Source organism: Homo sapiens, chromosome 7 (genome assembly GCF_000001405.40).
Source record: "Homo sapiens chromosome 7, GRCh38.p14 Primary Assembly".
NCBI classification, from domain to species: Eukaryota; Metazoa; Chordata; class Mammalia; order Primates; family Hominidae; genus Homo; species Homo sapiens.
Genome location: NC_000007.14, coordinates 643,688 through 660,954, shown reverse-complemented (window position 1 = coordinate 660,954; position 17,267 = coordinate 643,688). Strand labels below are relative to the sequence as shown.

The following is a 17,267-nucleotide window of genomic DNA, read 5'->3' as shown; positions in this document are numbered from 1 at the left end:
GTAAGTATTTGGACCCGTTGGGTTGGGGACCTGTGCCATGGGGGGAGAGTAGGTATTTGGACCCGTTGGAGTAGGGACCTGTGCCATGGGGGGCAGAGTAGGTATTTGGATCTGTTGGGTTGGGGACCTGTGCCATGGGGGGGAGAGTAGGTATTTGCATCTGTTGGGGTGGGGACCTGTGCTATGGAGGGGAGAGTAGGTATTTGGACCCGTTGGGGTGGGGACCTGTGCCATGGAGGGGAGAGTAGGTATTTGGATTTGTTGGGGTGGGGACCTGTGGCATGGGGGGGAGAGTAGGTATTTGGATCTGTTGGGGTGGGGACTTGTGCTATGGGGGGGAGAGTAGGTAATTGCATCTGTTGGGGTGGGGACCTGTGCCATGGGGGGGAGAGTAGGTATTTGGACCCGTTGGGGTGGGGACCTGTGCCATGGGGGGGAGAGTAGGTATTTGGATCTGTTGGGGTGGGGACCTGTGGCATTGGGGGCAGAGTAGGTATTTGGACCCGTTGGGGTGGGGAGCCTGTGGCACTGGGGGGAGAGTAGGTATTTGGATCTGTTGGGGTGGGGACCTGTGCCATGGGAGGGATTGTAGGTATTTGGACCCGTTGGAGCGGGGCCTGTGGCACCCGGGGAGGTGTCGAGAGGCAGCAGGCTCACAGACTTGGGCCCCATTGAGCTATGGTAGACGGGAACTCGGTGGGCCCATGTCCCCGGGGAGACTGAGCAGGGAGGTGATGCCAGGCCTGGGTGGAACCAGAACCCGGAACATGGAGCCGGGAGAAGGCTGGGATGGGCTCATGGGCTCCTCCCCTCTCTGCAGGAGGGAACTGTCCTGGGGAGGGGAGTCGCTTCCCCACTGACTCCGAGTAGGGGATGGAGAGCCCAAGGCGGCGGCACCTCTCTCCTGCTGGGAGAGCCTAGAGCCTTTGTCACTAAAGGGAGAGAGGCCACTGGCTCCTCGTGCCTCAAGGGCTCAAACATTTTCTGCTCACTGGGGAGATCTACAGGACTGGGGGCAGCTCCTCCTCCCCCTTCTCTTCCTTAACATTACATTTTTTTATTGTAATAAAAATCTGGGAATCTGGGCCAGGCACAGTAGCACAAACCTGTGGTCCCAGCTACTCCAGAGGCTGAGGTGGCAGGTCGCTTAAGCCCGGGAGGTGGAGACTGCAGTGAGCCGAGATCGCGCCACTGCACTGGGCGACAGAGCGAGACTCCGTCTCAAAAACAAAAACAAAAACAAAAGCCCTCACAAGGCCCATGCGTCTGGACGTGCAGAGCTGTGGAGGAAGCAGCCTCTTGCTGTCCTGCCGGTGTCCATGGTCGCGGCCTGGGGTTTCCTCCCTGGGCTGGTTTTTGCAGCCGTCGTCTTCTTGCCTCACCAGTGTTGTTGTTTCTCCTCTCCCCATTGGCTCCCAGCTCCCTTCCTCACAGCTGCCTGCATGCGCAGAATATTCCGGCTCGGGACGGCGTGTGCGGCCACCATGTGGGTGCCCTCCTCTCCCCCTTTCGTGGTCACTTCGGTGCCTGTGGGCTGAATCATATGTGGCAGTTGGAAGTGCTCCACTAGGATGGAAGCTATACTCACTCATTCATTCAACAGGTGTTTAGTGAGCATCTCCTTCAGGCCAGACCCCGCCCGAGGGGTTGAAGATACTGCATGCGCAACACAGACCACCCCCTACCGTACCTGGCTTTACTGAGCTTTTTTCTAATGGAAGAGACTATAAGTAAATGAAATAAATTGTTAGAATATAGGATGAGGCAGTGAGACGTGCTGAAAAGAAACACAAGGTGGTGCAGGGGGTGGGGATGCAGTTTTGGTAGAGACCAGCGTCTTAGGATTGTGTCATCCTCATGGTTTGTGAGCCGTCCTGCACATCTCCGCAGAGTGTCTGTGCTGTGTGTGTGAGGTTTTTATTTGCCTGGTGTCATGAGACCCATGTTGGTGACTCTTTCTTAGCTTACAAATGACTGCGAGATAATATTTTTTTAAAAACATTAGGCCAGGCACGGTGGCTCATGTCTATAACCCCAGCATTTTGGGAGGCTGAGGTGGGTGGATCACTTGAGGCCAGGAGTTTGAGACCAGCCTGTCCAACATGACAAAACCCTGTCTCTACTAAAAATACAAAAATTAGCCTGGCATGATGGTGGGTGCCTGTAGTCCCAGCTACTCAGGAGGCTGAGGCAGGAGAATCACTTGAACCAGGGAGGTGGAGGTTGCAGTGAGCTGAGAATGCACCACTGCACTCCAGCCTGGGCAACAGAGTAAGACTCTATCTCAAAAAAACCCAAAAAACAAAAAACATTTTATCGTGGAAAACTTCAAAAGTATATGAAAGAAGAGTGGCTTTCGTGAGCCGCCGGCTTCCATAGCACAAGGTCATGTTCAGGCTGCTCTCATCTCTCTTCCCTCCCACTTTCTCCCGACCCTGATCTATTTTGAAGCAAACCTCAGCCATCAGATCATTTTGTCTGTGAATATTTCAGTGTAAGATGCTAACTTTGTTTTTTTCTGAGACAAGGTCTCACTCTATTGCCCAGGCTGGAGCACAGTGGTGCAGTCATAAATCACAGCAGCCCCCACCTCATGGGCTCCAGTGATCCTCCTGCCTCAGCCTCCTAGTAGCTGGAACTACAGGTGTGCACCACCATGCCTGGCTAATTTTTAATTTTTTTTGTAGAGATGGGGGTCTCGCTGTGTTGCCCAGGCTGGTCTTGAACTCCTGTCCTCAAGCAGTGCTCCCTCCTTGGCATCTCAAAGTGCTGGGATTACAGGTGTGAGCCACCGGACCCCGCCAAGTTGCTAATTTTTGATCTAGTTTCTTGTCTTCATAATCACATCACTGTGGATAGGTGAGGTTGGGGTAGCACATTCGCCGTCCATATGCTGGCTCACGGAGCTGCTGTCTCGGCCTGTGTTTCTGACGTGGGCCTTGCTTGTCGGGTTTGCATTTCTCTCTGCATTTAATTGGGAGCCTCTTTAGAAGGTGGGTCTGCTTCTGAGCTTCTTTCTGCTGCTGCAAAGCTGGGCTCAGTGGGAATTACGCAAGCCTCGCTGGTTCATGAGGAGGTGGAGGCTGTGAGAAGAAATGAAAGCGCCCCTGAGCCCAGACAATTATTTTCTTCTTGTTTTACAAGCCTGTTGCTGAAGACTCGACATTTTCTGCTTTACGTCTTGTGTGGTGACAGCTGGTTCATGCTTGTCCTTCAAAAAAAGCAACAGTTGCTAAGAGTCCCACAAACAAAGATGTGCTTTGACTCCCAGGAACAGCTGTGGAAGGACAGGGTGTCCTGTCGGCTGCTATGTCCAAATATTCAGACTGCCCAAAACGGCGCCTCAGCCCCTGGCGCCGCTGGGTACTGCCCCTCATTCCTGTCCACCACCCCCATAGCTTTGTATTTTCTAACGGTGAAAAAATGCCTTCTTACTTCTTGACCAGAGACACGAAGTCCTCTGAGTTAATTGAGTCTAAATATGGGGTATTGAGGGAGAAGAGGTCAGCATGAATCATTCACCCATTCATTCATTCATCCATCCATCCATCCATCCATCCATCCATGCACACATTCATTCATGCATCAATTCCTTCATTCACCCATCCACACATTCACTCATGCATCCATTCATTTGTTCACTCATTCATTCATCCATCCATCCATCCATCCATCCATCCATCCATCCGTCCGTCCATTCATCCATCCATTCATTTATCCATCCATGCACACATTCACTCATGCATCAATTCCTTCATTCACCCATCCACACATTCACTCATGCATCCATTCATTTGTTCACTCATTCATTCATTCATTCATCCATCTATCCATCCATCCATCCATGCATTCACTCATGCATCCTTTCATTCATTCACCCATCCATGCATTCACTCATGCATCCATTCATTTATTCACTCATTCATTCATTCATCCATCCATCCGTCCATCCATCCATCCATTCATCCATCCGTCCGTCCATCCATGCATTCACTCATGCATCCATTCATTCGTTCACTCATTCATTCATTCATCCATCCGTCCGTCCATCCATGCATTCACTCATGCATCCATTCATCTGTTCACCCATTCATTCATTCACCCATCCACACATTGACTCATGCATCCACTCATTCATTCATCTATCCACACATTCACTCATGCATCCATTCCTTTGTTCAGACATTTATCCATTCATTCATTCATCCATCCATGCATTTACACATCCATCCACTCATTTGTTCACCCATTTATCCATCCATTCACTCATGAATCCATTAATTCATTCACCCACTTATTCATCCATTCACTCATTCATTCATTCATCTACGCATTCACTTATGCATCCATTCCTTTGTTCCATTTATCCATTCATTCATCCATCCATCCATCCATCCATTCCCTCACTCATCCATTAATTCCCCCCTTATCCATACATTTAGTCATCCATCCACACATTCACTCATACATCCATCCAGTCATCCATTCACTCATTTATCCACTCATTCATTCACCCACTTATCCATTCATTTATCTATCCATTCATACATTCATTTCTTCATCTATTCATCTAGTCAGTCATCCATTCATTCATGCATCCATACATTCACCCATGCATCATCCATTCATTCACCCATTCATTCATTCATTAGCTCATGTATCCACTCATTCATCCATCCATGCATTCACCCACCCATCCACTAATTCACCTATTTATCCATCCATTCAGTCACTCATTTATCCATTCATTCATTTTTCCATTCATTCATTCACCCCTCCACACATTCACTCAGGCACCCATCCATTCATTCACCCATCCAGTAAATCCTGGTTGGATCTCCTCTGTGCCCAGTGCTGGAAATCGTGCTCACAGATGTAGACACAAGTGGGAGGAGAGCCCAAGGAGAAAATGACTTTCTGGGGAGGTGGAGGTGGATCTTTGTCTTTCAAAGGCTCATAAATGGATTTTTCTGACTCAGTGAGAAACCCAACCACTTACGCGGGGGCAGACCTTGTATCCCAGAGAGCAGCCTCACATGCTGTCTCATGTAACTCCCCAATGGACCCAGGAAGTAGGGGCGTCATTTGCTCTGTTTCACCCAGAGGGTAACTGAGGTTGGAGAGACTCACTTGGGGCATGCTCTCATCAATCAGGGAACCAACTCTGAATCATATGTGGCAGTTGGAGGTGCTCCACTAGGATGGAAGCTACACTCACTCATTCATTCAACAAATGTTTAGTGAGGATCTCCTTCAGGCCAGGCCCTGCCCGAGGGGCTGCAGATACAAGATGCGCAACACAGACCACCCCTACCATACCTGGCTTTACTCAACTCTTTTCTAATGGAAGAGACAATGAGTAAATGAAATAAATTGTTAGAATATAGGATGAGGCAGTAAGAAGTGCCAAAAAGAAACACAAGATGATGCAGGGGATGGGGATGCAGTTTTGGAGGGGGGCCTGGAAAAGCCATGCTGAGAAGGGAAGATTGAGGAAATACCTGGGGGAAAGAGGAAGTGAACCAGGAATTTATCTGGGGAAAGAGCATTGCCGGCAGCAGGAGGGCAGGTGCAAAGGCCCTGTGGTCAGGGGCATGCCTGGTTGTCCAAGAATTAACAAGGAGGCCAGTGAAGCCAGAGCAGAGCCTGGGAAGAGGCCATTGACAGGTGATGAAAACACAGAGGAAGAGGCGCCAGATCTTGTAGGGCATTCTGGGTCACTGCAAGGACTTTGGCTTTTATTCTGAGATGGGAGGCCCTAGAAGGCATAGCATGTCGGCTCTTACATGTTTTATTTAGCAGGGTCTGTCTGGCTCTCCACTAAGAATAGAAGGTAGGGGGACAAGGGCAGAAGTGGAAAACCCAGTTAAGAGGTTGTTTTGCTAATTCCAGGCAGGAGATGCTGATTTCTGGGATCAGGGCAGTACCACTGGCAGTGGTAAGTGGTTAGTTGATTCTAAAGAAAGGGGCCCTGTCTAGCCTGAGATGGTTCAGCTATGAGGTTTGTTTCCAGTGCTGGGCTCCTCTCTTGGTTATGAGATTCCTTGGAGGCAACGGCAATGATAACAATGATGTTGATGGTGGTGATGGTGATAATGAGTGTTGGTGGTGATGATGGTGGTGATGTTAAAGTTGATGGTAATGGTGATAAAAATGGTGATAGTGATGGTGATGAAGATGGTGATGGTGAAGGTGATAAGAATGGTGGTGACGGTGATGAGGATGGTGATGATGTAGATGGTGATGATGGTGATGGTGAAGGTGATGAGGATGGTGATGGTGAAGATATTGATGGTGATGAAAATGGCAATGATGGTGATGATGAAGGTGATGAGGATGGTGATGATGGTGATGGTGAAGGTGGTGAAGATGGTGATGGTGATGTAAATGGTGATGATGGTGATGGTGAAGGTGATAAGGATGGTGATGATGGTGATGAAGATAGCAGTGATGGTGATAGTGAGGGGATGAAGATGGTGATTTGGTGATGGTAGTGATGAAGATGGTGATGATGATGGTGATAGTAGTGAAGATGGTGATGGTGATGAAGATGGCAATGATAGTTATTGTGAAGAAATGATGATGGTAATGACAGTGATGGAGATGAAGATGGTGATGAGGATAGTGATGAGGATGGTGATGATGGTGATAAAGATGGTGATGATGGTGATGGTGGTGAAGATGGTGATGAGGATGGTGATGATGGTGATGAGGATGGTGATGATGGTGATGAAGATGGTGATAATGATGGTGATAGTGGTGAAGATGGTGATGGTGATGAAGATGGCAATGATAGTGATTGTGAAGAAATGATGGTGATGATGGTGATGGTGATGAAGATGGTGAGGAGGATGGTGAGGATCGTGATGAAGATGGTGATGGTGATGAAGATGGTGATTGTGAAGTGATAAGGATGGTGATGATGATGGTGACGGTGGTGAAGATAGAGATGGTGATGAAGACGGCAATGATGATGATCATGAAGGGATGATGATGGTGATGATGGTGATGGAGATGAAGATAGTGGTGGTGATGGTGAAGGTGATGGTGATGATGGTAGTGATGGTGATGAAGGTGATGATGGTGATGTTGGTGATGATGGTGATAGTGATGATGATAATTATCATGGTAATAAGGGTGATGAGCACTAGTTATAACACCACATTAAGTGTATATAACCCATTTGGCCTCTTGTTGTGCTTTCCTAGAAATCATCTGCAATGGATGTTGGAGTTGATTCTCCATTATTCCCACCCCTCCCCAGCTATGTAGCACCATGTGGTTTGGGAGGGGATTGAATCTACCATGAGCTTTTGGAGTAGCCCTTATTTTAGCCCATTCTGGATGAGTCCATCCATCAACGACTGTGACTGGATCAGGTAACCCAAGACTAAGCCAACCAGCTCAGGACAGTTCCTGAGGCCCCTGTCCAGTGGCCAGGTGGCCTTGCTTAGCAGTGGTCCCATGAGAAGCAAAGAGAGTTTACTAAAGGCTTCTGGGAAAGGGACCTTGCTCCCTGGGGATAACTACACTTCTGGAAGCCAGCCCTCACTTTCCTTCTGAACGATGAGGTGGGTGAATGGGAAGCTTGGGAGGCAGTGTTGGGAAGAGGCTGCTGCTGCAAAGTACAGAAATGGACAGAACCTGGGTCTTTGAAGGCCTCGTTGAATTCCTGAATTCAACCCACCCCAAGGTTCCCTATGGTGTACTTGACATTGGTGGCCCCCAAAGAGCCTCAGACACTGGCCTGGCTCCCCACTTGTGTAGTTCCTTCTGCGTTGGCTCTGGGCCTGGCTGTGTGGCTGGGTTTGGCCAATGGTACATTAGCAAGTGTGATGCCAGGAGAGGCTGGAGAAGCACTTGTCCACTGGGAGCGGGTCCTTCTTGGCGCCCAGCCACCATGCAGTGGGGAAGCCCAAGCAGTCATGTGGAGGGACTCCTGGGGGTGGAGCTGGGACTCCTGGCCAGTGGCATCCCTGAGTGCCAGGCCGGTGGCCACCACCAACCACCCTGTGTGGAAATCAGCCATCCCAGCCAACACCATGGGAGGGAGGAGGCCTGCCCCATCAACCCACAGAACCATGAGGAAGAGTGAATTTTTTTGTCAAGGCACTCTGTTTGAGGTGGTTTGTTATGTAACAATAAATAACCAAAATACCCGAGTACCAGTTATTGGAGCCAAGAAATCCTTATTGAATGGGTTGGGAATTGTCTCTGGCTCCAAATCTCTATCCCTTCCAGCGACCCTGGACAGCAAGCTGGGAAAACGAGACACTCCCACATCACAAATGGTGAGCCTGGACTGCCAGTCCCTAGGGCAGAACCTCCAGATTTACAAAATAGTCTCCTGTGTGAGCGTGAACTGTCTTCCAAGAGGGGTTTCCCCAGGTTCCTAGCACTGCGTGGGTATGAACTTTCTTCCGAGAGGGGTTTCCCCAGGTTCCTAGCACTGTGTGGGTGTGAACTGTCTTCCGAGAGGGGTTTCCCCAGGTTCCTAGCGCTGCGTGGGTGTGAACTGTCTTCCGAGAGGGGTTTCCCCAGGTTCCTAGTGCTGCACGGGTGTGAACTGTCTTCCGAGAGGGGTTTCCCCAGGTTCCTAGCTCTGTGTGGGTGTGAACTGTGTTCCGAGAGGGGTTTCCCCAGGTTCCTAGCGCTGCGTGGGTGTGAACTGTCTTCCGAGAGGGGTTTTCCCAGGTTCCTAGCGCTGTGTGGGTGTGAACTGTGTTCCGAGAGGGGTTTCCCCAGGTTCCTAGCGCTGTGCGGGTGTGAACTGTGTTCCGAGAGGGGTTTTCCCAGGTTCCTAGCACTGTGTGGGTGTGAACTGTCTTCCGAGAGGGGTTTCCCCAGGTTCCTAGCGCTGTGTGGGTGTGAACTGTGTTCCGAGAGGGGTTTCCCCAGGTTCCTAGCGTTGTGTGGGTGTGAACTGTGTTCCGAGAGGGGTTTCCCCAGGTTCCTAGCTCCGTGTGGGTGTGAACTGTCTTCCGAGAGGGGTTTCCCCAGGTTCCTAGCGCTGTGTGGGTGTGAACTGTGTTCCGAGAGGGGTTTCCCCAGGTTCCTAGCGTTGTGTGGGTGTGAACTGTCTTCCGAGAGGGGTTTCCCCAGGTTCCTAGCTCCGTGTGGGTGTGAACTGTCTTCCGAGAGGGGTTTCCCCAGGTTCCTAGCGCTGTGTGGGTGTGAACTGTGTTCCGAGAGGGGTTTCCCCAGGTTCCTAGCTCCGTGTGGGTGTGAACTGTCTTCCGAGAGGGGTTTCCCCAGGTTCCTAGCGCTGTGTGGGTGTGAACTGTGTTCCGAGAGGGGTTTCCCCAGGTTCCTAGCGCTGTGTGGGTGTGAACTGTCTTCTGACAGGGGGTTTCCCAGGTTCCTAGCACTGTGTGGGTGTGAACTGTCTTCTGACAGGGGGTTTCCCAGGTTCCTAGCGCTGCACGGGTGTGAACTGTCTTCTGACAGGGGGTTTCCCAGGTTCCTAGTGGGAGTGTTTTGTTGACACGTGAAGTCTGTGTGATAAATAACACAGGGCCCTGGGAGTCAGAGATTGCTAAAGCCTCGTGGAAGAGCTCTGTAAGGCATCATGTGTTTCGGGGTCCTTTCCGAGGAACATGGAACTCGTATGAATTTTCAGGCTGGCTTTGTCAGTCAACATGGATCATGCTTCCTCCATGGCACACGTCCCTATAGGCATGCTACATGCACAGCCTGGTTTGCCCCTTGCAATCACCCCTCATGGCAGGTCCCTGCGGACTTGAGGGCCAGAGGCCCCTAGGAGCCTGGCTGTATGCTGGGTCCTGTCTGGGTGCCTGTAGGAGGCAGAGACAGGGCAGAGTAGATTTGGCACCTGCTCTTGAGCAGCCCCCAAATTCCAGACCTGAAGGAGTTTCAGCACCAAAGCAGGAACCCGGGGAAGCTTCCAGAAGGCAGCAGGGCTTGAATGGCTTGGACTAGCCTCTGTGCCTCTGAGCTTCCTGGTCCAGAGAGGTGATGATGCTTAGGACTGTTTTGCTGCACAGAAGAAGCTGAGTCAGGGCTCTCGGTGGCCGGTGAGCCAGGGGTGCTCCAGGATGAGTCCCGCAGGCATCCGCCAGCACGGGCAGGGAGGGAGGCAGCAGCTTTGCCTCAGACGCCTCTGGGCTCGGTCCCAGCCTGCTGCCTGCTGGCCACGTGACCTTGGCAAATGACGTGACGTCTCTGAGCTGCCTGTGGGCCACGTGACCTTTGCAAATGACATGACCTCTCTGAGCTTCAGGCCTGTTCCCTCTGTCCTTGAAGTTGGCGCAGTCAAAGGCAGAAAAGGGGCTGTCCCCAGGCAGAGCCCCCACCCACCGCCATTGCGCCTCCATTCCACAGGTGCCCCACGCTGTTCGGGTGGCAATGGCGGGACGTGTGCAGGGGCGGGAGGCTGTGCCAGAAGTGCACCAGGCAGGCAGTGGGTGAGGGCACCAGAGCCAGGAATGACTCCCAGAGGAGGGGGTGTTTGCAGCCCAGAGCTGGAGGTTCGGAGGTGCAGCCGGTGTGAAGGCTGGAGGGCTGGAAAGAGCCTTTCGTGGTTGGAACTGATCAGGTGGAGTGAGCAGGGAGGGAGGGAGGGGCTGAGTTGGGGTGGCAGTGGCTCTGGGGGCTGTGGTTTTCCAGCAGGGCACACAGACCCTTGGGATGCAGACCCTCTAGGGTCCCTCAGACAGGGTCCACAGTCCCAGGTCTGCATTCTCAGAACTGCCATTGAGGCCACCTGTCCTCTTCATCAGAGAAGGCACACTCACTCACACACCTGGGTCCTGCCTGCACAGATTGCAGTCACCTCACAACGGCATGGCCAGATGCTTCTTATAAACAAGGCACTACAGGCTGGGCATGATGGCTGATGCCTGTAATCCCAGAGCTCTAGGAGGCTGAGGCAGGAGGATCACTTGAGCATAGGAGTTTGAGACCAGCCTGGGCCGCATAGCAAGACCCTAATCTCTACAAAAAAAAAAAAAAAAAATTAGCTGGGCCTGGTGGCTCATGCAGCTACTCAGGAGGCTGAGGCAGGAGGATCACGTGAACATAGCCTGGGCAGCATAGCAAGACCTCAAGCTCTACAAAAAAACAGAAAATTAGCCAGGTGTGGTGGTGCTTGCCTGTGGTCCCAGCTACTCAGGAAGCTGAGATGGGGGGATCGCTTCAGTCCAGGACTTTGAGAGCAGCCTGGGCAACATAGCAAGACACTAATCTCTGCAAAGAACAAAAAATTAGCCAGGCCTGGTGGCTCATGCAGCTATTCAGGAGGCTGAGATGGGAGGATCGCTTGGGTCTGGGAGTTGGAGGCTGCAGTGACCCAGGGTCGTCACTGCAATCCAGCCTGGACAACAGAGCAAGACCCTGTCTCAAAAAATAAAAATAAATAAATAAATAAATAAATAAGGCGCTACATATAAATCAGTGTAAATATAAAACACACTAAATGATGTATTTCGAAAATAGCTTTACTTCTTCAATTGAATAATTACTTACCAAAAATGTTAATGTATAAACGTTTAGTTAACTGTCTGCTAACACTAAAAAGAAATCCTGAAGAAAAATATGATGCTTATAACCTTGTGTTCACAGGGAAAATAATTCCAAACATTCAACGCGTCTTTTACAAGGAAGCATGATAGGGAGATCAAAAAATATTAAGATACGTTTTAAATTAAAACATTTTTACATTGGGATAAATTCTGTGGGAAATGGGCTAGAAATACTCATTCGAGGAGAAAAGGAGCAGTGGAAACATTCTAAATGTTAAAAGCTTTTAAATTTTTATTTATTTATTTATTTTGAGACGGAGTCTCACTCTGTCACCCAGGCTGGAGTGCAGTGGCACGATCTCAGCTCACTGCAACCTCCACCTCCCAGATTCAAATGATGCTCCTGCCTCAGCCTCCCGAGTAGCTGAGATTACAGGTACCCGCCACCATGCCAGGCTAATTTTTGTATTTTTAGCAGAGACCAGGTTTTACCAGGTTGGCTAGGCTGGCCTTGAACCCCTGACCTCAGGCGATCCACCTGCCTCGGCCTCCCAAAGTGCTGGGATTACAGGTGTGAGCCACCGTGCCTGGCCAAATGTTAAAAGTTCTTAAATTTTCTCCGTGATATCTTGTTTTGGTGAGTGTCCAATCCCTATGGGTTTATATTTCATTTATTTATTTATTTATTTTTTCAGATGGAGTCTTACTCTTGTCACCCAGGCTGGAGTGCAATGGTGCAGTCTTAGCTCACTGCAACCTCTGCCTTCTGGGTTCAAGTGACTCTTCTGCCTCAGCTTCCTGAGTAGCTGGGATTACAGGCACTGCCACCACGCCTGGCTAATTTTTTTGTTTGTTTGTTTTTTTGAGACGGAGTCTCACTCTGTTGTCCAGGCTGGAGTGCGGTGGCGTGATCTCGGCTCACTGCAACCTCCGCCTCCTGGGTTCAAGTGATTCTCCCGCCTCAGCCTCCTGACTAGCTGGGATTACGGGCACGCACCACCATGCCCAGCTAATTTTTGTATTTTTGTAGAGATGGAGTTTTGCCATGTTGGCCAGGCTGGTCTCAAACTCCTGACCTCAGGTGATCTGCCTGCCTCAGCCTCCCACAGTGCTGGGATGACAGACGTGAGCCACCATGCCCTGCCTATGGGTTTATATTTCATTGGCTATGTTTAAAAGAGAGAAGGGCAGTTAAAATACCAACTTTCACAATAGGCCAGAAATTACTCCTTTTTGCAACTACCTAAACTTGTAATGAAACATTATAGATGCTAACTTAAAAACAAGTGAAGAGGTACGTAGTTTAAGATTTTTTTTTTTTTAATTTTGGAGGTAGAGTCTCGATATGTGGCCCAGGCTGGAGTTCAGTGGTGTGATCATAGCTCACTGCAGCCTCAACCTCCCAGCCTCAAGCAATCCTCCCACCTCAGCCTCCCAAGTACCTGGGACCACAGGTGCGCACCACCACACCCGGCTAATTTTTAAATTTTTTGTAGAGCTGGGGTCTTGATGTGTTGCTCGAGCTGGTCGCAAACTTCTGGCCTCAAGCAGCGTCTCAAAGCACCGGATTACAGGTGTGAGCCACCATGCCCGGCCATAATGAAGCATTTTAGGTGCTAACTGAAAAACAACATGCGAGGAGGTTTTTTTTTTTTTTTTTTTTTTTTTTGGAGACGAAGTCTCGTTGTTGCCCAGGCTGGAGTGCAGTGGTGCGATCTCGGCTCACTGCAGGCTCTGCCCCCCCAGGTTCATGCCATTCTCCTGCCTCAGCCTCCTGAGTAGCTGGGACTACAGGCGCCTGCCACCTCGCCCGGCTAATTTTTTGTATTTTTAGTAGAGACGGGGTTTCACTGTGTTAGCCAGGATGGTCTCGATCTCCTGACCTTGTGATCCACTTGTCTCGGCCCCCCAAAGTGCTGGGATTACAGGCATGAGCCACCGCGCCTGGCCTGGAGGTACGTGTTTTAAGAAAACTCTTTGGATAGCAAATGGGTGGTTATTCATGGTTATGGGATTAAAGACCGGACGGAGTGGGAGCTGCTGGGGGGTGTTGGGATCATAGAGGGGGCATGGATGGGAGAGGACGAGGAGGCTACGGGGCAGCAGGAGAGGCCAGGAGAGTTGTCCCAGCCACAGGTGATGCTGGCTTGGGTGGGCTGGAGACGGGACAGTGGACAGACTGGGTGATGGCCCTTGGTTAGACCAACGGGTTTTGCTGAGGACCTGACATGGGAGGGTGAGAACGGGAGTGAGGAAGGCTGATCCGCAGGTTGGGGGTTGCTGGTGCCCCCAACCCCGGAGGAGGTGGGCAGGCAGGCTGGTTTTGGCCACAAGAGTTTGGGCGCCCTGTAGGACGTGGGAGAGAGGGGACAGGTGGTCGGCTGTGTGGCTCTGGCCGGCCATGTTGCGTCCCATGCCCCTTTCTTCCCCACCTCTGGGTGGCCCCTTTGGTGTTTCACTTTTGTGGAAGCTGAGCAGCCTGGGCCAGGAGTGGGGGGCAGTGTCACCCCTGCCAGGGCCCCCGGCTCCCTGCCAGGTGTACCGCTGCCGCCCTCAGCCCAGGGCCCTTCGCCTGTGATCCTGCCGGGTGTGAGCTCAGCTAATGGCCTTTTTGGATTTGGACCCTCTTCCTGTTATGATCGGGCGGATGGCCAATTTAAGCATTTAAATCTTGGTTTTAATTTAGTTTGGTTAACATGGCTTAGTCTTAATTACCTGTGCAGTAGCGGCCCCGTCGTAGGATGCTGAGCACTCTGAGCCATTTCATCATCGTGTGATTTCATGCATCTCATTGTGAGTTCAGGGGTTCAGAGGGAGAAGCGTGAAGCCATTTCTAAGTGATGTTTTTATGGGAAACAAGGTTTAATTGTGTGGAAATAGCCATGATTCTGCACGCAGCCCCATTAGGAAACGAGCTCCGCTCTTCTTTCAGTTACTCCAGAGCTGTCATTAGCTCGGGGCCAAGAAGAAGGAGGAACCATTTTCTGTGTCTTCCTGCCCCACCATCGAGCTGCTTGGCACTTGGAATTGCAGAAGCAGAAAAGTTCATGAATTTGGATTTCCCCAGGTTTAGAATTTATGCACCGTCCTTCTAGAATCACTGAAATTGTTCTCTTAAAACGTAGCACTCAGGCCAGGCGCGGTGGCTCACGCCTGTAATCCCAGCACTTTGGGAGACCAAGGCGGGAGGATCGCTTGAATCCAGGAGTTTGAGACCAGCCTGGGGAACATAGGAAGACCCTGTCTCTACAGTAGATTCAAAAATCAGCTGAGCATGGTGGTGCACCTGTGGTCCCAGCTACTTGGGAGGCCGAGGTAGGAGGATTGCTTGAGCCCAGGAGGTTGAGGTTTCAGTGAGCTATGATTGCACCACTGCACTTCAACCTGGGAGGCAGAGCAAGACTCTGCCTCTTAAAAAAAAAAATAGCGTGCAGTTGGGGTTACTGAGCAACATGTTGGTGACGAAGGAGCCGGAATCTCAGCTGTGGGCCTCGTGGGGTCAGGTGCACACTTGGACTTTGCTGTCAGCTCCTGCCCTTTCCGGGTACCCTGGCATCACTGCTCTGAAAACAGGGACCAGATCGGGGCTGGGCCACAGAGCCCCAGAGGGGTCTGACTGGCGAGTGGACGGCAACCTGCCTGTACTCCCTGGGGCTCAGGGAGCACCCCCGCATGCTGACCTCACGGTCCCCTCCCAGTAGACGCACATCCGGGATCCCAGGGTCCCCTGGGAGCCCCAGGCCTCTCCCCAGGGCACTGGAACACAGGCCTGGAGGCTGGAGGGCTTGGAACTCGTCTCACTGCCTCCCAGGCCCTCCCAGACTTTATTCCCTGAACAGCTTCAGAGAAACAGCCTGTCCGTGACGGCTGTGGGACTGGCTTTGAGTCTTGACCTCCCAGGCTTGAGTGATCCTCCCATCTTAGCCTCCTGAGTAGCTGGGACCACAGGGGCTCGCCATCACACCCGGCTAATTATTTTTATTTTTAGTAGAGACAGGGTCTTGCTATGTTGCTTGGGCTGGTCTTGAACCCCTGGGCTCAAGCAATCCTCCTGCCTCGGCCTCCCAAAGTGCTGGGATTACAGGCTTGAGCCACTGCGCCCAAGTAGACTGAGTGAGATTGATCTTTCTTCTAAGAAATCTGCATAGGTGAGATCTTAGAAGCATTGCAGCCTGGCTCAGAAACACCTGGGTCTCGCCTGTACCTGGATCCCTCCTGCCGCGTCTTCGGCTCTCTCTGCTCCTTTCTGTAGGAGGGAGAGGACCGGACTTGGGTGCTGCAGGCCGGGTTCTCATGCTGTGCCTGCTGCCTGCCGAGTGACCTTGGGTGGGTGCTGCCCTCTCTGGCCTCCGCGAGGGGTGTGAGGGGAGGATGTGGTGGAGGAGGCATCCCTGCCAGATTTCTCTTCCGGATTTCTAAATCAGGGATCTGCAGTGAATCACGGGGCCCTTTGCCCTCACTCGTCCACACTGCGCCTTATTTATAGAGGCTGAAGAGACGGCTCATTGCGGAGAAGAGGCTTGTCTTGGGTCACCTTTTCAGGGTCTCACATCTCCCCATCGTGAGACGGGGTGGCCTGGGCGGCCTCTGAGCAGGCCCAGGACTCAGCTCTGCAGCACACGGGACCCTTTGGCCGACGGCACTGCCCGGTCCAGCCTCTTTGGGGCCCGCTTCCCTGGAAGGCTATGGGAGGTGTCTGGGGGAAGGGTCTGGCCCTGGTGCCTGCCCTCTGGGAGGGAGAGCTGGGGTTTGCCCTTTGCTGGGCTGTGGTCCAGCCACCCAGGCCCTGGTGGGTTGAAAGTCTCCCTGTCCGGAGGCCTGGGGGTGGACGCTCAGCTGCTGAGGCTGAGAACGGCCCTGCATTGCTTCCTTCCAGTTGTGGGCACTCGCATGGCCAGACTGGTGCCCCCTCAGTGCTGGGAGGGCTCCCTGGCAGCGGGGAGTGGAGGGTGGGCCCTCGGAGGGATGCTGGACCCCGGGATGGCGTCCGAGTGGGGCTTCCCTCCTGATGCAAGAGCCTGCAGGCAGAGAGGGCTTCCCGTGGAGACCCCCCTCAGCCTCTGCACACCCAAGGAGGAGCAAAACCCCGTTCCGAATGTGCGCGCCTCAGTTTCCCCACCTCATTGTGTACCTCCAGCTCCTCACAGTGTGGGGTGGAGCAGGAGCCGGGAGTGAGTGATTCCAGCAGGATTTTAAGAGCATCACGGACATTTCAACGATGCCTTGAACAGGGGAGTCATTCTATAATATGAGGGTTCATCCTGACGCAGGTTGAACATCCCGCCTGTCGGTGCCCTGTGCTGCCTGCCTGTGTAGGTGAGGGCACAGGAGGGGGTGCATGTGGCCCGTGACTTAGCACCTCTGTTTGTCTGCAAGATGAAGACTTAGGGCTTAGTGTAGTGGGCCGTGTAGCAGCCGCCCCTAGCTTCGTAGCACTGGGCAGCCGGCATTTCATCATGCTCACGGGTTTGTGGGTGGGAATTCGAATGGCACAGTGTGGATGGCTTGTCCCTGCCCCGCGATGTCTGGGACCTCAGCTGGAAAGGCTGGTGTGACTTGGGGCGACGGGAGTGGCTGGGGGTTGGATAATATGGAGGTGCCACTGGGCACCCTGAACCCTGTGCATCTGTGTAAGGCCTCACGGGGGCTTGAGCTCCCTCACAACATGGCCGCCTCAGCTGACAGACCTCCTGCCTGGCAGCTCTGGGCTTTAATAGCTGGTATTCCAGGAAGCTGCGACTTTTTTTTTTTTCAAGATGGAGTCTCGCTCTGTCGCCCAGGCTGGAG

General features: G+C 52.1%; 1 protein-coding gene across 9 annotated transcripts in view, besides 1 other annotated feature; it reads left to right on the top strand.

Moving 5' to 3' along the window:
• Positions 1–17,267, top strand: part of PRKAR1B (protein kinase cAMP-dependent type I regulatory subunit beta) — a 179,738-nt gene that overhangs the window by 67,980 nt on the left and 94,491 nt on the right. The window lies entirely within an intron of this gene.
• Positions 8,417–9,616: an enhancer, noted in NCBI's record as "BRD4-independent group 4 enhancer chr7:690976-692175 (GRCh37/hg19 assembly coordinates)". NCBI's record gives its function as "activates an origin of replication core promoter dependent on BRD2, P300/CBP, MED14 and CDK7 cofactors, and independent of BRD4, by STARR-seq in HCT116 cells {active_cell/tissue: HCT116}" and the evidence as "EXISTENCE:reporter gene assay evidence [ECO:0000049][PMID:35650434]".